Source organism: Homo sapiens, chromosome 9 (genome assembly GCF_000001405.40).
Source record: "Homo sapiens chromosome 9, GRCh38.p14 Primary Assembly".
NCBI lineage: Eukaryota > Metazoa > Chordata > Mammalia > Primates > Hominidae > Homo > Homo sapiens.
The window spans coordinates 99960513-99986457 of record NC_000009.12 but is presented as its reverse complement, the minus strand read 5'-3'; the positions used below and the strand labels follow the sequence as shown (position 1 = coordinate 99986457).

At 37.7% G+C, this 25945-nt stretch overlaps 2 protein-coding genes across 7 annotated transcripts in view; one reads left to right on the top strand and one right to left on the bottom strand.

The window, feature by feature from the left end:
- Positions 1-7273, top strand: part of ERP44 (endoplasmic reticulum protein 44) — a 119816-nt gene extending 112543 nt beyond the window's left edge. Inside the window, exons 11-12 of the mRNA NM_015051.3 lie at positions 1389-1491; positions 3745-7273. Coding sequence (NP_055866.1) covers positions 1389-1491; positions 3745-3846 — 205 coding nt within the window. The 3' untranslated portion in view covers positions 3847-7273. The remainder of the gene's footprint in view (positions 1-1388; positions 1492-3744) is intronic.
- Positions 7274-11923: 4650 nt separating this feature from the next.
- Positions 11924-25945, bottom strand: part of STX17 (syntaxin 17) — a 67881-nt gene continuing 53859 nt past the window's right edge. For all 6 annotated transcript variants that reach the window (XM_047423551.1, XM_011518821.4, NM_017919.3 and 3 more), the window contains 2 exons: positions 18719-18805; positions 11924-18024 (listed from right to left, as the gene is read on the bottom strand). In XM_047423551.1, coding sequence (XP_047279507.1) covers positions 17785-18024; positions 18719-18805 — 327 coding nt within the window. In that variant the 3' untranslated portion in view covers positions 11924-17784. The remainder of the gene's footprint in view (positions 18025-18718; positions 18806-25945) is intronic.

Below are 25945 nucleotides of genomic sequence, written 5' to 3'. Positions count from 1 at the left end.
AAAAGTGTTTCTATTTAAAATATATAATTAATTTTTTAAAGCACCAAGATCTCAGAAGGCAGACAATTCGTATGAGCAGAGATATAAATTCAGACAAGCAATGAAAAAAATGCTTAATTTGTGAAGAAATGTAAATTAAAATGCAGGTATCTTTTACTTATCAAATTAGCAAAACCAATTTTAATTTAAAAAAGACATGCTTGGCAAGACTTTAAAGAACAAACAGGTAGACAGATAGTAAAAACCAACTGATGTTTTATAGGTATAATTTGCTCACACTTGGTCAAAAGCTCTTATTTGTTAACCCAGTAATCCTACTTTATTGTATATAACTCAAGGAAATATTACAAAGAAGAAAGCCTGGTACATAAATTTGTTTAGCTCAGTATGGTGGTGTCTGCTACAGTGCATTGTTTCTGTGCTGCAGATTTGCTCATACATGATTGGTAATTAAGAGAATAGTGTCCATAGAAAGTGAAGTTGTGTCAGTTTATATATCATTATCCTCAGAATATCCTGAAGCCATCAGAATAAGCTTTTTCGTAAAGAGAATGCCGCAAGGGTGTATGAAGATCTCCAAAACAAAACAACTGAAAATCCTGGGGAAGTCCCCTTGTTAGTGTAAATAAAAGCTAGTTTAATGATCTTGAGAAGTGCTTTGCTTTTCACAATATTAAGCTATCCAATGAAGTTGCATGTGTGGTTTGAAGACATTATGAAGACATTTGCCTCTATGTTTAGGAAAAAAAACATGAAAATGCTATGCCCTGGTTCAGGTTAATTTGATGAAATTGGTTTCACTGTCTAGTGAAGGCCCTTAAGGACCCGAACCTCAAAAGTAGGCTCACAAGCTTTACGTTAAGGCTGCAGAGGATCACCTGGTTGACACTAGGTTTAAATGGTGGTGGACATTGGATGGTGCTAATATTTTTGTTATAGGTTCGCAGTAGTGCTTTGGTTACAAAGCTGCATAGTTTTCAGTGGTTAGCCCCTAACTATTTTTCCCTTGAGCCCTGTTATTTTTAGTGTGATGTTGCAGAACAAAGTTTTTTTTTAGTTACATATATGTAATTTAGGAAAATATATAAAGTGCCCATTAATAAAAAATGGTTAATTTGGGGTACAGCATCTTGATAGACTATAATGTGCCTTAATGATAAGCATGGAAATTTTTCTATGAAACAAGTACAGGAATTAGAATACAAAACTGAGTATCTGGATACTATGCTTACAACTGTGTAAAAATGTTTCACACATACCTGGCCTGCAATAGTTGTGGTAGGATGGTGGGACTATAGGTTAGCAAAAGTTTTTTTAATACTGTGAAGTTGGTAAAATAGAGATAAGTCCATTTTAACAGTTTACATTTTATTTGACTCTGGTTTTAGAATTCCTGGAAAACTCAAGCAATTCGTATTTGACTTACATTCTGGAAAACTGCACAGAGAATTCCATCATGGACCTGACCCAACTGATACAGCCCCAGGAGAGGTAGGACTCCTGTTTATTTTTCAATGAGAACTCTTTTTTTCCCTTTTTCAGTTAGCCTCAAAGAGGGTCTGAAGTTCTTGCATCAGCTTGAGCTTCAGCTTCTGAATATTTGTGTAGAGAAATTCTGAGTAGAAATTAACCTTTTAAATTAATTTTTAAAGCTTTAGGTCTTCAGAAAAGTTGAAAGAATATTATAACGTAGTTTCTTGATTGTATAAAAGTGTTCTGATGTGACCTCTGTGGAATATGGCTATAACAGTTAAATATAGTTGGCTTCAAATGGGAATAGGAAATAGGAATCTAAAGCAGATAAATCAGTGAAGAAATCAGTGGATTCCAATAACTATCCAAGCCTTCCTCTGTGGCTGGAAGATTGACCACACTATAAAGAAAGTAATGATTTGTTATTCTTGCTAAATCATTCTAAGAGCCTTCACAAATACACTATTCATAATGCTCAAAACCTTACAGTTTAATGCAGCTTTCCCATTTGTGATTTAGAATACTTGACAACTATTTTATCAAAATTTTATGTTCTTTTATGTTTTTTTTTACCTGAGAATTTTACTGTTTCCACCTTGTAACTTCTGTTACAAGTAATTTCTATGTTCCTACTGTACTAAACAGCCCTAAGTTTGCATTTTGATAGATTATGATTTCTATCATGCCTATTACCATGATACCGAGAGGGAAGATATGTACCAAAACCCTCTATTTCATATGCTCAGAACTTAAATCCATTATTTTGCCTATAAAACCTCTATTTATAAAAGGAAAATAAAAACTGAGTTTTTCTTTACCTTATTTAAGAGTGAGATTAGGTTCAGAGGCAAGAATTCCCTATAGGAATCCAACAACATGCTTTTTCCTTTAAAAATTAGGTCAGATTTTTGATAATTAACAACTATAGGAGGCAAACTTGTTGGCTATAACCCAAAGGTGATTATTTTCCTCAGAAAAGAAGGCCTGCATAGTATTTTATCAGATTAGGAAAAGATGTCATTTACCGTTATTGTATTATCCTGATTTGTTTCAATTTCCTCATTAGACAGTGAACTTACATTTGTTCATCTTTGTGTACTAACAGAGGGCACCAAATAAATGTTTGTTTTATAGTAATATAATTAATTTCAGCTTATTTCAGCTTAATCCAAACATATATCTCACTGAAAAAATTAAAAATGTATTGGGAAAGAGGAACATGATAAAGTCAAATGATAAGTTTGTAGACACATTGCTTCCTGTTAGAATTAATGTGCCATTACATATAGTATGTAATATATGCACTGTGTGCCTATGTCAACTACAGGGGATATTAAAATGAGGAGAACAATCAGGCCTGCTCTTGAGGTCACAATTTGGAAATAGAGGATAGACTGCACTGCCTTTTCTTTTTTTTTTTTTTTTTTTTTTTTGAGACGGAGTCTCGCTCTGTCGCCCAGGTCGGACTGCGGACTGCAGTGGCGCAATCTCGGCTCACTGCAAGCTCCGCTTCCCGGGTTCACGCCATTCTCCTGCCTCAGCCTCCCGAGTAGCTGGGACTACAGGCGCCCGCCACCGCGCCCGGCTAATTTTTTGTATTTTTAGTAGAGACGGGGTTTCACCTTGTTAGCCAGGATGGTCTCGATCTCCTGACCTCATGATCCACCCGCCTCGGCCTCCCAAAGTGCTGGGATTATGCCTTTTCTTTAAAATTCTTGGAAATAGCTCGTTTCACTGTGTATTTTTGTCTGCTCTTGGTACACAAGTAAAATACTACAGAAATTAATTTCTTTCAGCATTGAAGTGTTTGCTTTCCTCTTTATTTCAACTAAGTTGTAATAATTTCTGGTATCCTGGTAATTGATAACTAAGATAATATCTACAGAGTGGATGCCATTAATTCTCTTAGCAGTCACGTGCAGAAGGGAAGGGTTTGGGCCAACCTAGGGTTGTGCTGTCTCTGTCGACTAGTCTAGGAAAGCACCCAGGTGTCAGGTATTTTGGTCCCTTCCACCACACCTCAGCAAATGTAAAACAAGCCCACAGTTAATGGCCCTGTGGCAACCCTGCCCTGGAGAATCTCAATAAGAGCATTTGAAATGAGGAAAGCAAGATTTCACATTTAAATATCTTGCTTTGGCACACAGTTGCTTTTATTGATTAATAAGCAAATAATTATAGGGGAACTACTATTCATCGAATACACTTATTAAAATATTATAGCACCATAAACTATATTGGTATAAAAATGTTTTATTCTTTCTTTTGTAGCAAGCCCAAGATGTAGCAAGCAGTCCACCTGAGAGCTCCTTCCAGAAACTAGCACCCAGTGAATATAGGTATACTCTATTGAGGGATCGAGATGAGCTTTAAAAACTTGAAAAACAGTTTGTAAGCCTTTCAACAGCAGCATCAACCTACGTGGTGGAAATAGTAAACCTATATTTTCATAATTCTATGTGTATTTTTATTTTGAATAAACAGAAAGAAATTTTGGGTTTTTAATTTTTTTCTCCCCGACTCAAAATGCATTGTCATTTAATATAGTAGCCTCTTAAAAAAAAAAAACCTGCTAGGATTTAAAAATAAAAATCAGAGGCCTATCTCCACTTTAAATCTGTCCTGTAAAAGTTTTATAAATCAAATGAAAGGTGACATTGCCAGAAACTTACCATTAACTTGCACTACTAGGGTAGGGAGGACTTAGGGATGTTTCCTGTGTCGTATGTGCTTTTCTTTCTTTCATATGATCAATTCTGTTGGTATTTTCAGTATCTCATTTCTCAAAGCTAAAGAGATATACATTCTGGATACTTGGGAGGGGAATAAATTAAAGTTTTCACACTGTGTACTGTGTTTTACTGATTGGTTGGATATTGCTTATGAAAATTCCATAGTGGTATTTTTTTGGATTCTTAATGTGTAACTTAAACATACTTTGAAGTGGAGGAGAGTCATAAGACAGAACATTTGGCAGGAATTGTCCTTATGAAACAAGAAAAAGAAAATGAAAAGTATTATTAAGCTTCTGTGTTTGTCTAAAAATGTGGCATATGGATGGCATTTAAAACTTTGAATGAATTATACCTAAATCTGGGACAGGGAGGTGACAGTGGAACAGGCTACCAATCAGAACTAGATGACTTTTAAGGCTCCTCCTATTATGAGACTTCAATTTCCAAAGAGAAGAACTAGCAGAGAAATTGTATTTCAGTAATTTTAAGCTCCTTCTGTCTTGTAGAGTCTTGTTATAGTTGTATAAATCAAAAACACAGAATAAGGAACATATTTAACTTTTTTTCATTATAAAATGGTTAGAGGACCCTACCCCCTCTAGATTCCCTGATTTCCCCAGGCCTGCAGCATACAGTAAGATGGGTCCCTGTGCCAGGCCTCAATACTGCCAGGGAATAAAACCAGAGGGAGAGGACCCTCAGTGTCATATCAGGAAGCCCAGTGCCAGAGGACAGACAGGTTCAAAACTGGCTTTTCCTCTGGGCCTGGGTTGGTGCTATAGGCCAAGGGTCATTTTATACTTGGGTATAAATCAATCCCAGTTTGGGAAAAGATTATTTTTAAGCTTAAAAGGCTGACATGTGCCATTATATGTAGTATGTAATATATGTAACATCTTCCAATTCTTTTAAAATAAAATTAATATTTATAATGGATATTTAATGATTGTTATTTTTAAAAACCAGCTTATAATTCCTCGTTATGCATGATTTATCCAAAGTTTCCATAGTTTTATTCAAAATAATAAATGTTAATAAGGTGATAAGGGGTATATTTAATGTATTGTATCAAATTGTGAATAAGAAAGTAGGATGGAGCTTTCTAGAGGTTGGGCCTTAGTTCTGTTATCCTCATTGCTTTTAACCAATAAGTTAAATGAAGTTAGAGTTATGGTCTTCAGGTTAGATTATGGACCAGATCTGTGAGGGTCAGCATGGAAATTCACATTCAACAAGGTAGCACACAGGACCAAGAGCAGCACATGCAATCAACTGGAATAATATAGTAATCCTGTAACTGGGTTTGAAAAAATAATCAACAAAAGATACAATTCAAGGGTTAGGTTGCAGAGAGCTGGCTTGAGAGTAGTTATTATGAAAAAGGCCTCAAGGAGTACGTGTTCAGTATGCTCTAAGATGATAAAGTGGCTGTTAAAAAGGGAGTTGATTTGAGGAAGTATTACTTAGCATTCATGCATATTGGGCTTAGGCTCTAGCCCTGCCACTATCATTGTCTTCTCTGGACTGTGAAGTCACTGAGGACAAGGAAACTAAATTTAATGTCTGTATCACTAGTGCCTAGAATTTCTGGACACTTAGTAGTCACCATCAGGCGTTTATTTAATGAATGAGAAGCAAAGTGACCTTGGTTACTTTTTTACCCTGAGGGGCTCAGCACTCATTAGGACTTGGTGCCTAATTTTATAAAAAGTCACTAAGCTCAAGTGCTTGGATGAAAGGACAGCGTGGATAAAAAGGTTTTTAAAACATGGATGTTAAGGCTGTTTTGCTTGGAGAAGACTTGGGACTGGGACAGTCTTTAGATATTATTTGAAATGCTGGCACTGTCTATCTGGATCCCAGGGCTTGAACTAGGATTTGAGGAAGTCACAGGGAAGCAGATTTCAGTCTGACATTTATTCAGTGCAAGTTTTTTGGTGCTGTAGTATATGATGAAAGATGTAAAGCTGAATAAAGCATTATTTCTGCCCTAGAGTTGTTCACAGCCTAGTCAGGCATATGGATATGTAAACAATGACTGTAACGTGTTATAGATGTAAAGACAAAATAAAGGTTAAAGAGGGCATAAAGGAGCACTCAATTGCAGAGATTTGAGGACATTATTTTTATTTTGAGCTTTAAAAAGATGAATAGGTGTTCTCAGGAGGTAGGGATCTGGCTGAGAGGGAATAATCTGAGCAAAGGTATGAAACAGCCTAATGCATTAGAGAAAAAAGTTCTTTTAGTAAGGCATTTGGGGTTGGGGAAGCTAGAAAAAGAAATGGGAGCTGGTCACACAGGGCCTTGTGTGCCAGACTAAGGGGTTTGTAGTATATATTGTAGGCAGAAGAGATCCATCAACAGATTGCAAGCAAGGAAGTATGTTCACTTTAAAGTTTGAGAAAGAATAGTGTGGAAGCACGTCTCAAATTTAGACTTGTTCCCCCTCTGAACCGTGAATCAGACCATTTCAGGTAGAAGTCTTCCCCGGTTTATCTGATCTACTCGGGGCCTCAGGCTTCTCAGCTGGGAAGAGAGGATGCAAGACCAGACTGAAGAACACGGTTGAGTCCCCAGAACCAAAAGGGGGCCTTTCTGCTTCTTAGCCAGCTACCTCTTCGAGTTTTTCAAATTGTGAGGGGGACCATAAAAGGATGGAAACTTTTAGATGACATTCTACAAATTATTTTTTTCTTTAAATTAAAAGAACCTAGCCAATAAGATAGAGAATGGGCATCTAAGGCATCTCAGAGCTCTCTGATGAAGCCAGGTTGTCAAAGATCATTTGCAAAAGAAGGGAAAACTGGCATGACAAAAGCTACAGAGAGGAGAGTGAAATATAGAAGTGTTTGAAATGTTCAAGCTCACAATAAGCTTAAATTTATAGAAAATGCTAAGGTTGTCAAGAAGGCTTTTTTTTTTTTCTTTTTTAAACCTGAGGGCAAAAAGGAATGGATAAAGTAGTGTAATGGATTGACAATCAGGAAGAACAGAATAACTCAGTTTTTTTTCTCCTACAAGGAGATATGGCTGGACCAAAATAAAATGACATGAAACTGCAAAAATGAAAAGTAAAAAAAAAAAAATTGTTGTCACCTTAAATGATTTCAAGGTTGTTAGACCCACACTTCTGTATCCTAGAGAGCTGCTGGAGGTTGCAAATGCTTTCTATTAACAACTGTTGGGAATTTTTGAGAAACCATGGAGAATGTAAGGTGACAGAAGACTGGAAATGAGCAAACGTACTGCAGTTTTCAAATCATTAGCTAATAGCTTTAGCTATTTTTCTAAAATAAAACCTCATGAACCAAACAAATGTTAGTACTCTGTATTTGGGGGAAAGATTTAAATAGCTGTAAAGAACAAAACAGTTATCTGTTTTTAAACCCATTATTTGAAGACCCTGAAGACAGTAAGTTGTTTCAGGACTCAAGTTTTATGCTGATAATAACTTTATGTTCATTAAACCAGGTTGGATAGGACCTCTGCTTAGCAACTGTTTTTTAGCTGTGTTTGAATTTTTGTATGTATTTCCAAGTAATAAAATTATATTTATAAAATATTTCTATATTGGAGACTTTTTACTAATTCACTTTGTTATAAATAACATCATATTGTAAACCCTTTACTCAGAATCTAGATGACCACAGTTGCTAGATTTTTCAGATTTAAAGTTATTTCCCAGGTAATTTAATTGTACTGATCAGAATGGGAAGCTATATGAATCCATGTGATCACTCAAACCCAGCCTTTCATTGAAGCAAGCATCCAAGTTCCCTCTTGAAGAACACACTGGGGAAAGGCTGGCCTGCCCTTAAACAATAGGTTTTGGAGTCACCAGAAGAGGAACAGTGCAGCTTACAAATTGCTTCTCTAAAAGACCCCTTCCCCCAACCCTGCTTAGTAAATTCCTCCTATTCATCCTTAGTGCCTAATAACACTTGTCACTCCCTGTGATCCCACAGTCCTTTATGGATTTTAGAGTACCCAGTCTAATTCAGAGTTAGAAGTGTACGTATCTCTCTTCCTTATCACTGTGTGAATGCCCTGAAAGCACGAACTCCTCTATCTTTGTAATCCCAGCACTTGGTGACACTGAAAGTACTCAGGAAATCTCTGATGGAAAAAAAAAAAAAGGCCAAATTAAATAATAAGTATGTGAGCAAATGAATAAAGAACAAGAAAGCATCGCCGTAAGTGGAATGAGCTCTACTGGTTAATCTGCAAATCTCAATTATCTGATGATTCTGTCCATCACAAATCGTGTTTAGGTGAATCTAGTCACCTTTAATCCTGTATCTGAATCCGGCTTTGGGGTCCTAAGAGTTTTTGTCTAGAATAGATTAAAATCTTACAGTGCGCACCAACCCAGAGATACATAACTATCAGAATGACATCTGAATACCCTCTTGGGTAATGCAGAGTCCTGCAGAGGTGCTGGAAAATTTCTGAACTCCACATTTGCTGTGAGGTAAACCTGACCCCTAGCTTGGCCTCACGGAGCAACAGACTTGAGTTGACAAAATATCCCTGTTGTGGTTTTCAAAACACCATTCATCTGCCATTCAGCAAGCATTATCTACTGTTTCCAGGCTACAGATCTAACAGTAAGGAGACTGTACCTACCATCAAGGAGCTGAAAGTTGAGTGAAGGAGCAAAATAGATGTGTAAATAATGGAATGTTGTAGGTGCTAGGATGTGAGTTAGTCGCAGAGAACATGGAGGTAGGTGTGTACAGCCTTGGGAATTGGGAGTCTTCCTAGAGGAAGTGCTTTCTTGCTCAGAATAGAAAGAGCTATACTTTCCTAAGCACATCAGGCTCTTCTCCAGGAGAATTGTTATTAATAAAGACTGTCATTATTCTATTATCTTACTGTAATAAAAGTATTGTTAGGTATTGCTGACCTGTTTTTTTCTCACAGTTCTAGTCCTCTCAGGTAATAACAACATGTCCCATGTGTTTTACTTATTGCCATGGCTACCAGGGAAGAAACCACATGCCTACTGTCCTGGTGCCCTGTATAAACTTGCCTACATAGGATTAGATCAATATTAGAATCCTGATGCCTTGTTTTCTTGCCCTAGCTACTGCCTAGGAAGGGGAATAGAACATGGCATTCCTGGCTATGCACACAGCAAGGATTATAGAACAGGTCATCAATTCTGAGTGATCAATTCTGACTTCAGAATGAGCACGGCTTTCTGATTTAAAACACTAAGTGTCCATTTCAGAAATTTTCCAGGATTCAAAGGTAAATTTCCTGGTCTGTGGCTTCTGGAATCCAGCTTTTACGCCTTAAATTTAGCCTTTTGCCCAAGCTCAGTGTTCTGGAACATTTTCTATTGTCTTGTTTTTCACAATTACTGGTAGTAATTTAACTTGCATGTATACGTTCCCACTAACGTTGGGATTTTGTTTTTTATCTGAGCCTAGAAATGATCAATTCTTTTAAAATATAGATGCTCTTTTTTTTAATAATGCCACACTTATTTTCATTGCCCTTATTACTAAGGTGACCATGTAATTGTATTCATCCAAATCAGGACATTGAGATGAAAAGGGAGCATTAGTAATTTCACCAGGACAACAGATGTAAATCAGGACTGTCCCAGACAAACTGGGATGTATGATCACCCTGCTCCTAACCAGATCTTACATATTTTCATGTTTGGATATCATTCTTAATAAAGATGAAAAAGATGCACTTTCTACCAGGCATCTGTCATCTTTGAACCGTCTTAATAAAGCCTTTTGAAAAAATCATTTTAAGGATTCTTAGTGTATTTCTCAAGTCTCCACTCATTTTAGGTGTCTCCCTAACACTATTCTTGTAGGTACATGATACCTTTTTTAAATTAATGTGCATTTCCTTTAAACTTTGGGAAAAAATAGTAACAATTCTAACAGTAACAGCAACTAACATTTGCACAGTTAGCAGAAGCCAGGCACTATTCTAGGCACTGAATATGAATTTAGTCTTTTAATCCTCATAACCACCCTGTGAGATAGATAGCAAGGTGTCAAGGTAGGAAGAAGAGTTAAGGACATCCTGAATTGTTGACCCCCAGTGTACCCTGATAAGTGGCAGCAACCTGTTATGAACATTAAAGCCTATAGAGGAAAGAAAGGGAACTATGGAGAACTATTAATGCCACTTGATTCCTTTTCATTCCTATAAGCTAATTGAGTGTCTGTTTGTTGGAATAAGTATATGAACCTTAGCATTAGAGACCCGGGTTCAAATCCTGTCAAATGCTTACCTCTTCAGCCCCACCCTTGCCCAATGCCAATACCTGCTTGCTTGACATGGCCATTAAATTCCTGCTGCTGCATCCTGTTTCAATACTAGTCTGTCAGACTATCAATACTTCTTGGATTCCTGCTATTCTGACCTAGTAATCCTAAGGTAGGACAGAAGATAAGTCAGTCCAAATTTTCCCACAGCATTTCCTCAGTGATTCAGGTCCTATATCCTCTCTCTTCCAAGTCATGACTTTTAATTGGAAAAAGAGATAGAAATATCTTCACCTGCAAATTCTGAAAATTTAAATTCATGATTTCCAAGTCCTGGAGTTGTTGTCTGGATTTCTTCTGTTGCATCATTCATTCCTGTTAATATACAAAAGTGGGTACTAAGTAAGGATTTGATATGTCTTAGAAAGCTATTTCATATTTCAATGCATGTCCCCAAAAGAGAGCAGAACTCACATGCTATTACCTCATCACTCGTCATCTAACAATCACTAACAGGAATGTAGTTTCTTTTTTCCTTCTCATCACTGTATTTTATTGCAAGAAGTACTCAAAGAAGATGATGTGATCCCTGTCCTGAAAGCAGATTACAGTCTAGTTGAGGAGATCACACCACCACCAGTGAAAGAATTTTACCCCTCTGAAGTTCGAGAACATTGCAGAATTAACCATAAGTGAAAACTGGAGCCATGAATTGCAGTGGTTAAGAAATGTTCATGTAGAGATGGAAAACGATTGTGAAGCACTTGGACACTAATAAGTAAATTTCATGACTGTTTTCTCAGTGGGTTTTCAATAAATATGGAATGACTATTAGAACAGGAACAAAGAGGGCATTCAGTGTTAAGCAGATGATCTCTTAAGCAGAGAGGGAAGAAAGCACAACCTGTGGGAAAGGAAGGCAAATATGCCAAATATACCAAGAACTCCACCAAATGTGAGGTTTAATACTAACTTCCCTGGCAAGAAGGCAAAATGAGGAACTCAGAGGAGTAATAGTCTTATCTGACACAAAGCAATACATCAATTCCTATAAACAAAGAAGTATTAAATTTTAAATAGATCACATCCTAGTCTGTATTTCCATCCAACCATCTTCATCACTCAGGTGCGTTTTGTTTCTTAGTTTTCTGTGAGCCCACCATGTTGTGTTTTGAGCCCTTTGTCCATAACTCCATCTTCAATCAGGCATATTCTTCTTTAGGTACGGCTCAAACACCACATGTTCCACAAAGCCTGCCCCTTCTTTTCCAAGCAGAATTTGGTCCCTCCACTCTGTGTGCCCTCGTATTACTTTGTTCATTCCTCTCTTAGGGCAGTTACCAGGTTTTACTGTGATTTACTTGCTTTAGGTATCTGAATTCATTAGCCTGAATGGTTTACAGGGGTAGATTCTATAGGTCTAGTATTTTTCTATGTATGGCCCCAGCACTTAACACACCACAGGCCTTCAGTTAAATGTTGGTTAAATAAGTAAATTTATTGCATGTTTCCTTATTCAAGCACCACTCAGCAATGTAATAAATGACAAATGAATTCAGTAAGCTTTACAGAGTTTGCAGAAATTCTTGCCATTGGGCCTTTTCTCGTGCTGACCCTTGCTAACACCAAGTGTTTAACAATAAAATGGAAAACATCTTTAGGGGGTTTAGTTAACGAAACCCAAGTAAACACCTTTTTAGTGATTAACCTTAATACAAGAAAATCTCAACTACTCATGAAGTGTACAGAAAACATGTACCATTGAATGTCTTTCTCAAATATTAAGTTTTTCACAGGAGCTGGACAATGGTCCATTCAAGGCTGGAGGATTTATGCTCCTGAAGAATACTTGTGCTGTGGCTATCAAATGCACAGGTGACAACACTGACATTGTTTTGAAGGTTAAGAAATTGAAAGCAATTTCTTCTGGTGGAAAAAAATATTTTCTTCAGGATACAAGTTTTAGGCTCGTCCAAGAGCTTAAATAACCCCCAGCTGACTATTATAAAGTAATATAGAAATTATTTTAGACCAGAAAAATGTAAACATGGTTTATTACCAGTTTGAACCTTCACCATAGAAAAACCTTAAAATCACTCTTGTGGATTTTTAGTGGCATTGTCAGATGGTGAGTAGTGAGTTTCAAGAGATAAAGCTGGGGCCAGAACGTAGAAGGCTGTGAATGCCAATCTAAGGGATTCGAACTTTATTTGGTATTCAGTGGGAACCACTGAAAATCTTTCAGCAGAAAAATGAAAGATGGACATGGTTGTTAATTCTTGTGGCAGTGATATAAGGAACTGAGTCACTTAAAGTTGGGGGAAGATCAAGTGCGGGGTGTGAGGTAATAGTCTTTTTACTAGGGTGATGGCCATGGATATATTTAGAAATGGATGCAACTAACATTTAAGGGAGAATTGACAGGACAAGTCTTGATATAAGGAATGGAGTCAAGTTGGTGACCACTAAGGTTGAAAGATTCATGGCTGGGATGGGAGAAGAGAGCTGCCCCTGATTTAAAAAATCCTGCTACAAGAGACAAAGCCAAACTAGGACTCTGATCTCAGGATTCCCCGTCCAATTATCTTTCCGTTGTAGCTATTGCCTGATTTGGAATGTTGAAGCTAGTCTGAAAGACCATGAGCCTTAGCAGGTGGCTTGACAGGGCCTAACACTCAGTTAAATCACCTTCAGGATTTTTTCCTAGACCCTGGTTATAATCCTAGCCTTGTGCTAACTAGTTTTGTGATCTAGAGCAAATTATTTGCCTTTGACACTTTTTATGGGTTTTTTTTTTTCAATTTAATATTGCACAGATATATTTCTTATCTCCCATTTCTATTTGAGAGTAGCAATGTGGATACATACCATGTGGATCCTTTACATTGATGGTTTATAATACCTAAGAAGTTTCTTTGTAAAAGGGCATCAAATTAATGAATGTAAATTATGAGAACCACCTGTTAAAAACAATAAAGTATTAATTTAAAAACAAAAAATACCCCTGAACTTTTAATATTAATTTAGGCTAGAAGAGAAACTCCCCTGCCTTTTATTAGGCCTCTGATTACTTAAGAACATCATCTAACATTCGTTAAGTACCTGTGAACCACAGCCACGTTCTACTTAATAACAAAAAAAACCACCTCATTTCCGAGGAGAACCTCCCCCCAGGCTTTTCCTCATCCTTCCTTGTAAGATTTCATATGGCAGCAACGAAGGACAAAGGGGACCCTGAGAAACACCTTTCATATTTAAGGTTAACACAAAGCATGGTTTGGTTTCTGCACTCTGATGGAAGACAAACGTTGTATATTATCTAGCTATATTACAGGTTTCCTCAACTTCTTGTGATTGATGTTACCAGTATTTGATTCTTACTCCTGTACAAAAATCTTAGAGCACTTAAGGGAGGGCAGGAAGGCAGGCAGCCCACAGAAGGAAGTTTCTGGACTCATGCAATTCTCCCTGTACAGCACTCAGTTTCAGTATAACCTCAAAATCCTCCAGGAACTCTGGTCAGTTCTACACAGCACCATCATACCCCCTTTTCTGGGATGATCTGCAAAATGTCTTTGGAGGCAATTCTGAAAGAACAGTTTCAAAATTGGTCTAAGTAATATTAATACTAGCATCACTACAGTAAGTACATGATTTCCCAAGGGTATCATTTTAAAGGATAATCATTTGATCTATGAATTATGATAAATTTGTTTTAAAAAGCATTAAAGTTTATTTTTAAATTACACAAAAAGCACTGTTTAAACAATGGTTATAACTAGTGAACATTAAGAAATCTTGCAGGCAGGTGGATGGGATTGAAATACTCTTTCTTGATTTTATAGTTTAAGGGCCAAATTGAGCACTGTTTATGTCTGCATCAGCTACCATTAAAAACTTTGAGGCTGCTGGACACTCAGTAAGGAATCAGAAGTTTTTTAAAAAGATGCAAATGAATGGAATGTGTCATTTCAAAGCCTGTTTGGTAAAGGAGAATGGATGACCCACCTTTTTTTAAATATTTTTTTGAGAGAGGGTCTTGTTCTGTCACCAAGGCTGCTCCTGAGTTCAAGTGATCCTCCCACTTCAGCTTCCCATGTAGCTGGGACCACAGGTGTGTGCTATGCCACACCCAGCTAATTCTTAATTTTTTTCATACAGACAAGAGTCTCACTATGTTGCCCAGGCTGGTCTCAAACTCCTGGGCTCAAGTGATCCTCTGGCCTCTGCCTCCCTAAGTGCTGGGATTGCAGGCATGAGCCCCTGCCCCCAACCCCCATCTCAATTTTGTATAGAGGCTGTATAGTCTGAGAGACATAAAAGTTTTTGTAGCTCAACAGACCTAGTTAACATTCCTGGCTTCACCCCTTTGTAGTTGAGTAAACCTCTGCAAATTATTTTCTCTGAAGCCCAGTTTCCTTACTTGTAAAATGCCTGGTGAAGTGCCTGGCAAACAGAAGGTATTCAAGAAATACCAGTTCCTCTGTGAGGGTGTTTTTTTCAAGCTAAGGGTTGCAACCCATTGGTAGATATCAATTTAGTGGGTTGCAACTGGCATATTTTAAAAACTGAAACAATAAAAAGCATCAGAATGGTAAGTATTGTTCATTAAACATATTCTAAGGTTTGATATAAATGCGTTTTTTACTGTGGGTTACAGCCAAAAGGTTTGAAAGTCTCTGCTCTACAGAGAAATTCTCAGATTATGTTAAAAAAAAAAAAAAAGTCCTTAGGATTGCTGCCTTTATCCAAATGAGGGCCCACAAATTTTAAGACATTAATCAAAGTGTTCCCACTTTCTAACTTGTTGCAGTAAAAATAAGACATGGAGAAAATATTTAATCTGATATGATAAAACATTAAATTCAATTTTAAGATTGGTTTCTGTGTCACACTGACTATGCTTATAAACACTTTATCATTTATAGTTGATCAAACTCTTCTAGCAATTTCTATGAAAAAGTTGGCTATTAGGTTCCATTATAGGGAAATGAGATACTTTTTAAAAGGACTGTAACTTGCCTATGTGTGAAGACTGCTAGAGTAATATTCCAATCCTGATGAGCAGTAAAAGTCAAGGGCTTATATGAGTACATACAGTGGTATTCCACACTGGCTCAGTAAAAATGAGAGATACCAATACCAAGTGTGAGCTTCAAATACAGGCCTCCTTCAGGTCTTTATGTAAACCAGATTTACCTTATAATGAATCCCTAGTGCTGCCGCTAAGTTGGTGGGCTGAAAGGATAGCCAATTTGGGATGGAAGAGTGGGGTAATATGCAGTGATGAAGAAGGGTAGAATACTGGGAGTTTCAGAATTAAATGACACAGCAGAATCTTGATGTAACTGTTTCTTAGATTTATAATTTCAGCTGACTATGCTGGACGGGTGATGTCAGAATTACCCCTGGAACTGAGGTTTAGGAATCTTGCTTTAGTATGTGCCTGGGTGAGTTCTGATCCTCATTCAGGTTTGATCACCCTGTGTTAAAGTGACAGAGCAAGGTCCAGAAACTAGAGAAGAGGTGTAATTCAAAAGTAATTATCCCAGCCTCACAGGTGTCCAATATCACAGGTGTCCAATACTGGATCAGAATCTGACACTTATTCAAAGTATTTCCTTCTTGGTATTATTAATATGTTAATGATATAAAGCAGCAGAGAGCAATACTTGATACTTTCTAGTTATTTAATGATACTAAGAAATGGTGCTGTTTCACTGGATTTCATTGATGAGATTTAAGACGTATGAAAGAGAAAGTCTCTTTAGACAGGGACATGAAAGGTAGCCATCAATAAAAGTTACTAAAAGTAAACTCAGAAAGAAAGAAGTGATAAACCATCCAATCCCCTAATGAACCTTAGCTCCTGGCAGAGAGACAGCTCACACCTTCTGGGGTGCAGGTGCCCATCCCTGTGCTCAGAAAAAAGCGTTAAGTAAGGCAAAAAGTGATTCCTCCTATTTTAAATGAGTTGGGGTACAGAGGGGAGCTGCCTGTAGTCTTGAATTCTTTTTTTCCAGTATTAAAGCCTTTCTGCGGTTTGAGATAGACATGCAGTTGGGCTGGGCCATGCTTGCTGTGAATGTCAGGTGTTGAGATTAGCACCACACCATTCCCCGGGTCTGAGTCTTGCATGCGTCTTTGTCCATCATTGTCTAGAATGTGAGAAAGGTAAGCATGGGAACGCCATTTTGGGGAAGAAACACCAGCTATAGAAAGCAAAGGGATGCATAGGAGATAAAAAGTCTGGGGAAAAGGATGTGAGGTAGCAAGCGAGTTCTCAGCTCCCCCCAGAGACCAGCTGAAAAGAAGACTGGGTCAGATACCCCCTATCTGGCAGATATATCACCCCTCAAAACTGGAACATGCCCCAGGAAATGTTCTTGGTGGTTTTTTTCTCCTTGCTCATTTTAGCCCAAACTCTAACAATGTTGAAAATATCTCGAAATTTCTTTTTTTCTTTTCTTTTTACCTAGAGGTTATAGGAAGGGATGAACAGAGATGACAGACAAGACAAAAAAGGTTATGAGAGAATTCCTCATTATACATGGGTAGAATTCACCCCAGAAACCAAAGAACTTTTCATAATTACAAGGGAGGGACAGCACAGGGCACAAGATCTTTGAGGTGTTAGAAGACAGGCTGACAGACCAAGCTTGGTGACTGGCTTAATAAGTCTCCTACCACTTGAAATTCTGTGTTATTTATTTAAAGAGAGGCAGAGGAAGAGTTCAGAAGCCAGAAGATTTTTGGAAGAGAAGTTGAGCCTCTTGCATTTTCTTACATCATTAATTTCCTTCACCAGAAGATATAGTTGGACCAAATTGCAATAGGGTTCGCCAATGGACTCCATTATGTAGTCGACCTGTGCTCCTCACTAGGCCCTGATTTCGCTATCTGATAACAAAGGCTTCTGAACTCTTATTCTTTTCCTCACTAACAAACCTCAATAATCTACACTTAGCATTAAGGTCTCCAATTCAGGGTTATGGAAGAAACTAGTCTTCCATAACCCAACGTTTCTACACATCTCAAGTCCTTATCAGAGTTATAGGTTCAGTTTTCACATTTCCAGGGAGAAAATCTGCTCCTTGGCAGTCTTCAAACTTTACCTGACATACATTATATACCCTCAGCCCAGGGCCTCAATCTCTTAACATCTCCATGAACACCCCAGCAAACAACAAAATATATCCATTTATCACACTTCAATCCCACTTGAACATCAGTAGCCACTATCTTGATATACTTGTGTTCCAAAAGGTGACGGAGTGTCCAACAGCAGCAAAGGTCCTCAGGATAGACATGTTGGCACCAATAATACTGAAATTTGGTTTTTAACTGCATTTCTTGTCAGTTTGGCTGGGAAGATCTGGACAGCTGGAAGTGAGCTTCTCCATCATTTTCTGTTTCTTTCTTTGTATCAATTTTCCACCTGTGAAGCCCAACACCCCACCACCAAGTGCAGCTGCAATTCCTGCCACTTTGAAGCCTGCAAGGAGGCCAATAGGACCCCCTACCATTCCCCCGATGAGTGCACCTGCCACAGGCAGAGCTGCCAGCTTGTATTTTGCAGCCTGTAAAAAAAAAAAAAATTCAATTTAGAAACTGAGTTGAGAATATCTGCCTGTGGTGATGTGCGTTTTCCTCTCATTACTCCTGGCAATGCCTCTTTAACTCTTGGTACATAATTAACCTTAGAGACTGTACTTGTAGGGGGGAAAAGAAAGTATTCCACAGGTACTGCAATTGCTCCAGATCTCAGAACTTAGAGAGCTGAGCTACAAAGAGTGGACTGCTACAAATTGATTTTACTTGCAAAACAATCAATTCACTAACTATCTAGCTGGCTTATTTAAACTGTTTCGGCAGCCACAGATTTCCCCCAAAGCTTTTATGTTGCACAGAAATTATTCAGTGCTGTGTGCCTGGGGTTAAAAGCAACATCCTATGGAAAATAGATGGTCCCACTCCATGTGTGCTGTCACATACTTACACTTTTACCCTCTGCAAATATTCCCTGGTAACACCAAATGCCTTACAGCAGAGCTACAGTTTATTCTCTCTTTGAAGAAATTCCTCTCCTGATAGAATGAATCTTAGAGTAGAATATTACAACATTGATTTCTTACACTACCTATGTGTCATTTCTTCCTTATTTCCTTAATTGCTGGTTCCCTCAACATTGAAGAGAGCAGATCAATTGGGTTAATACTAGAGATTCCTGGGAGCCAGAGTACCATTGATTTGTCAGCAGGAGCAGAATCTTACCTTCCCTAAGTTTTTGGTTCCCTCTTCAACATTCACAGCAGCACTGTTGACATGGTCTGCAATGCTGTCAATCTTCTCCTGCTGAGACTAGATGCAAAGGAATTATGAGTGAGCGGTCCTGCTGGGGAGCAGCAGGGAGCCAACACACACTATTTTAATTCCTGTAATCAGGGCCCTGGGTACTGCAGCCTTGCCATCTTAATAGTGGTTCATTAATAGCATCTGATAAGCCATGTCGAAAGGACAAATTAACTTTCATAAAAAAAAGGGGGGGGTCTTAATTATTAGGTAATAAAAGGGTGGCAACTTTACAGCAAAAAGCATCTCACGCTAAAATTCACTCAAACATACAAACATATTATTCTCCAAATGAATCTACTTTCCAGAAAAAAAAAATCCAAATAAGCATTTACATGTCATGTTGGGTTTGATGGAAAAAAAAAACCCAACAAAATCAAACCCCAAAATACCTCCCTAACTTACCTTCTTTGAGGATTCAGTTTAAATCAGGCACATTTACCTTAGGAGTAAAATGCCCTTGGTCCAATAAATACAAATTGTTATGTTTCAGGAACAAGACTACAATACGGTTTGATCTATTATGAGATCTTTCCATTTGTAATATGCAGTAGGGAACAGTGAATGAAATCACTGTTCTGTGCTTTACACCTGTGTATCTTAATACATTTTAAAATCATGACAGTTTAAAATGTTTCAGATCAAATATATTAATAAAGCATTCTACATAAAATGGCAACACCTGTGCTGGCACAACAGCAACTGTGACTCATGGAATCTCTGGGTAGAAGGAATGTTGAGGTCATCAGGTCAATCTCCTCTCTGATGTGCGAAGCCCTACTGTAACATTCCTGACAAGTGGTTACTGAACCTCTGCTCAGATACCTCCAGTGACACGAACTCATTACTTGCTGTAGGAACACATTCCCATTTTTAATTCAACTTTATTTAGATAGAATTTACATATAACAAGTACTGCTTTTAATGGTATAGTATGATGAAATTTAGCAAATGTATAAACCAACTATCACAAATGTATAAACAACAAATGTATAAGCCAACATATAATCAACCATCACAGTTTACAGACTATTTTGGTTTTGTTTTTTTAATGTGCAGAAAAAAGAGAATCTCTCTTTGATCCTAGATAGATGCCACCTGCAATGAGGGTGAAATAATTCAACTTTAATCCTGAAGTGTTTGATTGCCCTTATATAATTGGCCTATTCATTTATATTGAGGCAGACACATACAACACTTTTCTAATTCCAACCATTATTTCATTTGAAAACATGAAGCCCAAACCACACAGCTACTTTTTCCCCATGTTTGTTTCCTCTTAGCATTACTGATATTACTTCCCTTCTCATACACAAAATATGTCTATCTTCGCCATTGTGGTATCCCTTCATTCCAATATTCTCCACCACTATCTTGACATCTCTAAAACAATGCCTAAGAAAGTCCCTTATCAGTTTTCCTTTGAATGTCTCTGTGAGAGACAACTTTAACAATGGTTCTCAGTCTTCCACCTGGAGGCTTCTTAAAACACAGATTGCTGGGCCTAATCCCCGGAGTTTCTGATCCAGTAGGCCTGGGATGAAGCCTGAGCTAGTAAGCTCCCAGGTGATGCTGATGCTGCCAGTCCACAATTCTCACACTTTAAGAACCACTATTATATGTGCTCAGATCAAGGGCACCACCTTTAGTCAGATAATCTGTGTTCAAATCTCAGCAAACGCCACTATGTGCTCTTAGACAAATTACTCAAGCTCTCTAGGTGTTGGTATTCTCATTTATCAAGTAAGAATAGTGATACTTATACCTTCATAGAGTTGAAGTGGGGATAAAATGTGTTTGCAAAGTGTGAGGGGGGAAAAATAGAAAAATTTATCCTAATTTCCCCAAGGAAGTGTTAACTCTCATCTCTCTATCAAAAAATATATTTAACTTTTTCTTTCGGTGCTTGAAAATTCTAGGACACTAAAACTTCAGGTATCTTTTAGCATTCATTCAATCATTCAATTTTTATTTTCCTCAATAGCAAAACTTATTTAAGTCAGCTTTCTTTTTCTGACCCATAGAAGAAAAAGTTCCAGCACTAATAATATACAACTTGTCTAGATTTCTGACACCCTATCATTGTTTCTATTTAGGACACCCCCAACACTTTCCACTCTTGCCTGAAACAGTCTATGCTAGCAGATAAATCACAGGCTTAAAACTCTACCATCAGCCGTCATATGTTGATGAGTTGAAAGGTAGAGGAAAAATAGTCAGTGTCTCCCTTCCTTCAGCCCCAAAATAATTCCAGCAAGAGGGAGGAGCCTGCCAGGATTATTGCCATTTCTATACCCCAAGTGTAATCGTAAAGCCTCAGGGAAATACTTTCTAATGTTCCTTCCTTTAAAAAGGGTTGGATATTGTACTTCTATGACTTTTTAAAAATTAAAGCAAAATTTTAAAATAATTTAAATATTTTTTCATAAAAATCATTTGGAATAACTGAAGAAGCAACCACAGGCAAAAAACCAATCCTGAGATCACTAATTATTTGAACTACAAAGTTCCCCATCATTGCAATCACCAGCATTTGATGAGGCCCATCCCACCCTGGGGAGTAGCCCACATCTATAAGTATTTATTCATGCCATCAGAAAGCATGCTAAGATATGGGGCTGGGGTGTGGGAATAAGGCAGAGGGCAGACAGCCCCTATCCTGGGATCAATAATCACCCCTCGATTGTGCACGTCTGCCTTTCTCTTGTCCGTATTTTGCTTGGTTTGCAACTTCAAACTTTGCCCATATCTTCAAATTCTGCTTCTTGAGTAAGGAGGACTCACTGACCCCCACAAAGGTTACAGTTAGGCAGCAAACTATTGTCACAGAGTTGTCAATTACCATCAGCAGAATGCCAAACCAGACTCCATACAGAGCTGAATTGGGTCACTACCTGTCCACTATGTCCTTGGCTCTTTTTGTGGGACCAAAAGATACATATACAACCCTGCCCCAGCCTGTGAAATCAAGCTCTAAACATTAATGGTGGTGCAGGAGCCTCCTAACCTCTATCTATCAATCTCCCCTGAGGTTTTGCTTCTGATTTGCTCATGTTTATTTTCATCTGCTTAGGCCTCCCACATTTGACAATCTTCAAATTCCATACCTGCCATTTTATAGTTTGGCACCCCATATATGTTCTCAGCATTCCTTTAACAATGAGCTAAACCATATTTAAGTGTTTAGCTCATTACACTGCAGTGTTTCTCAAGCTAGAGTAATATACTGACCTCCTTTTACAGAAAAAGAAAATTCTCAAATGACTCTAAGAATATGTCTACGGATTTCATTTTAAAGAACATTGAATTAAGTCCCCCTATTGGCCTGAACATAACAAATCTTGACGAACAGCTATAGGAGTACCTAAGTTTCTGTATAAACTGTGATTTATTATACTTGTCAAGCAGAATGCAATTTGGGAATATAAATTCAAAACCAATGAACTGTTTTGTTCTTGAATGCCTGTTGGGGACACTTGTAGGCCTAGCATCCTCTATGTCAAGCAATAATAATACATTCAAAAATTAACCCCCAAATCCATTTATATCATTAACAGTGGTCTTCCATAGAGAGTTCTGATAGTAGTTGTAAAGTTTAAGGTTCTTGGAAAGCTACGAGTTTATTTAAGAGGGTAATACCAAAACTCCAGGTACGTCCATTTATTCCTCTCTAAATTCCAGCCAGCCTTCAAGGCCAAGTTCTAATCTTAGATCTTGACCAATCCTGTTCACATTGAGCTATTCTGGTTCTAAACTCCTATGATATATTCTATATACTCCTTAATCATATGCAATCATATACACAAAAAGGCCCAGAAACAAACTTATAAATACTATGATATATAGGCAAAATAAGTGATTATATTGGCTTCGAGTAAGCAATAAGCAGAGTAGATAAGTAGGATGTTGCTAACAGAGGATTCAGCAGTTGGAAAGGGACTGAAGGAATTCCAGTACTAAAATGCCTAAGGATAATAGTGGTGGAAAAAGTAGAATTTTTGCAAGGAGCCAAACAAGGAATGAAAATAAAGGAAGGACAAAAGTGGGAATGCAGTTGGGGTCAGTGGAAGGGAACAGAATGGGAAGTACTTAATAATACACATTACCTCATTTAGTCCTCCCATCAGTGTTATAAAGCTCATTGTTGTCAAATAACATCCTGAAGGTCACATAGGTAATAAATGAAGGAATCTGATCTAATCCATTGCAACCAGTTTTTATGTTTCCAGAGTAAAACTGGATTACAAAAACGACAGGGAATAAGGCAAAAGGCAGAAGTCAAAACAGACTAGCAGCAAGGGTGAGTTGTTACTGAACTACTGGCCCAGGGTTCTTTAAATTCTCCTTGACTAGAAATAGGGCTAGTTACAAAGTTATAGGGAGAGAAGAGGGCACTTGAACAACAAAGGCTGAAGAAAAATAGAGCAGGGTACCTAGTAGATATTAATTTATTAACATTTATTGTACTATACCTTGATCTGTCAATGGCTTTGTAAGTTCTTTTTATAGTGGTAAAATAAATATAACATAAATTTACCATTTTAACCATTTTGAAGTGTACAATTTAGTGGCAATAAGTAACTTCACAATATTGTGCAACCACTATTACTATCTTGTAAGTTTTTTAAATGCTTTTTTCTATTCCTCATTAAGCTTAGCACAGTGCTACGCAGATAGAAAGTGTTCCTTAAATACATGGTTAATTTGTCTAGACACTATCATGTCCATGTGATGATAATGAGAGGATGTGGTCACTCTGGTTATGTTCCTAGGTCATTCTGTGCCTAAATAGAGCTTCTGTGAATCCTTGGCCATGTGGTCATGAGAACTTAGTCACCCTGGGAATAATAATCAGGGGTTCTCCTTTGAGCTTTTGCTTATTAGCATTCTGTCTCATGTACTTAAACAGATTATTACAAACAGGACATTTGTATAGAGCTGTGGCTACAGCCAGAGTTTTCCTACACAAATCTCCCTTAGATTAGAGGTTATGAGCTGCTTACATAATATAATCAAACATGTAACTATCTTATGGTCACAGACCTTTAATATTTCTTTTATGTGCCTATCCCAGTAGAAAAGAAATGTGTTTGTACTGAGTAAGAACTTTGTACATGTGTAGTTTGTTTTTTAAAATCAGCTTTATTGAGGTATAATTTACATATATTAAAACACATTTTATGTGTACAGACCAATGACTTTTGGCAAGTGTATATATTTGTGTAACCATACATGTATAGGTTTTACAAACTGCACTGGATTCAGAGATTATTAGTTTACAATAGTTGAATAAATGTTGATTCTGAAACAACAGATATTTTGGGATTCTTGTTCTATTATTTCCTTCTGTTTGCGAGTATATTAATATTGTACAGATACCTAATCCAGAAACTTCAAATATTTTGCTTCTTCTAACTTAGAGGCATCCAGAAGCAATTCAAACAATTTACTGCATTCAATTTTAGGTAACACATTTCAAGAAAATATTCAGAATATGGAACATAAGCATAGTAAGAAGCCAGTATTGAGAAGCCTAGAAATTATATTGTAGAAGGAATGCAAAAGAAGCAAGGGTTCTGAAGAGAAGAAAATATGGTGGGGTGGGATAGAGTGAGGAAAGATGATGGTTTCAAAACCTTGAAAGACTTTCATATGGAAAGAAGGCAAAATTTGTTCAGTACGTAGCTTTAGAGGCCAAAAATGCCAAAAAGAAGTTATTATAGGGCAGACACTTTTAACTCTAACCCTTCTAAGAGTTAGACCCTCCAAATGCAATAGTTTAAGTATCAATATCCTTGTGCTGTAATTGTTCCAAAAGAGGCTAAAAGACCATTTATTTTAGAAATTGGGGCAAGAGTAGAGGGATTAGATTAGTTGGCCTCTTGAGTCCTTTCTCATTCCAATTCTGATTGTGTGATCTAGGAACTTCTCATTTAAAATTAGATCTCAGGGAAACCGTAACTCAAAGATAACCCCAAAATCATGGTTAGATCAGAAACAAAGAACTAAACCTAGACAGAACTGCAAGCAGAAACAGGTATGCCTGTGTGGACACACATACATAAATATACATACACACGTATTCATACATCCTACCTTCCCATAACTCCTGAGAAAGACAAAAAGAACAATTTAGAAAAATGGTGGAAAATCTATCTTTCCCAACAAATTGACTTTGTGCTTCCTAATCTATGTTAACAGTATCACTGACACCCAATTATGCAGAATAAAGACAATGTTCCTTATCTTTGGCTCCATCTTCCTCCAATTTCTGTTAAGTCCCCCAGAAATATCTCTCAGCTGTCCTTTACCTTTACACTGGTATTGCCATTGCTCCAGGTGAACTCTTGCAATTGATTCCTAACCAGTCTTCCTTTCCATGACCTCCTCCTCTCTTAGGCCATTATTCACAAAGCCAACAGTGATCTTTCTGAAGCACAGACTGAATTGCATGACTCTAACCTGCTCAAGAATCAGTATTAGGCTTTCTAATGCCCACAAAGTAAAGTTCAAATTCTTTAGCATGGCATTCAAAGCCATCACAATCTGGCCCTCACCCTCCTTGCTTGCCCATGGTACCTTATGCTTTGGTTATACTGCAGTACTTGTCAATCTGGAACAGGCCATACACTTCTCTACTCCATGTCTTTGTTCAGCTTCTCAAATATACTCCATAACTTCCCCCAGTGGATATTTACTCATTTTTCAAGGCTCATACAAATACTGTCTACCTGTGTGAAGCTATCCTTAATGCTTCTTTCTACCTTATGACTCCTGCCTCCTTCCTTTGGAATTAAATGCTTTTCCTTGGAGCTGATAATACCTCTCTTCATTCTTGCTTTTGCATTTAGCCATCATGCTTGAAAGCTCAGTTTCTGGGGTCCAGGCCTATCTCCACTCACTGTAGAATGCTCAAAGGCAGCAGGGCGTGGTGGCTCATGCCTGTAATCCCAGAACTTTGGGAGGCTGAGGCGGGTGGATCATGAGGTCAGGAGTTTGAGACCAGCCTGACCAACATGGTGAAACCCCGTCTTCACTAAAAATACAAAAACTAGCTGGGCATGGTGGCACGTGCCTGTAATCCCAGCTACTCAGGAGGCTGAGGGAGGCAAATCGCTTGAATCTGGGAGGCGGAGGTTGCAGTGAGCC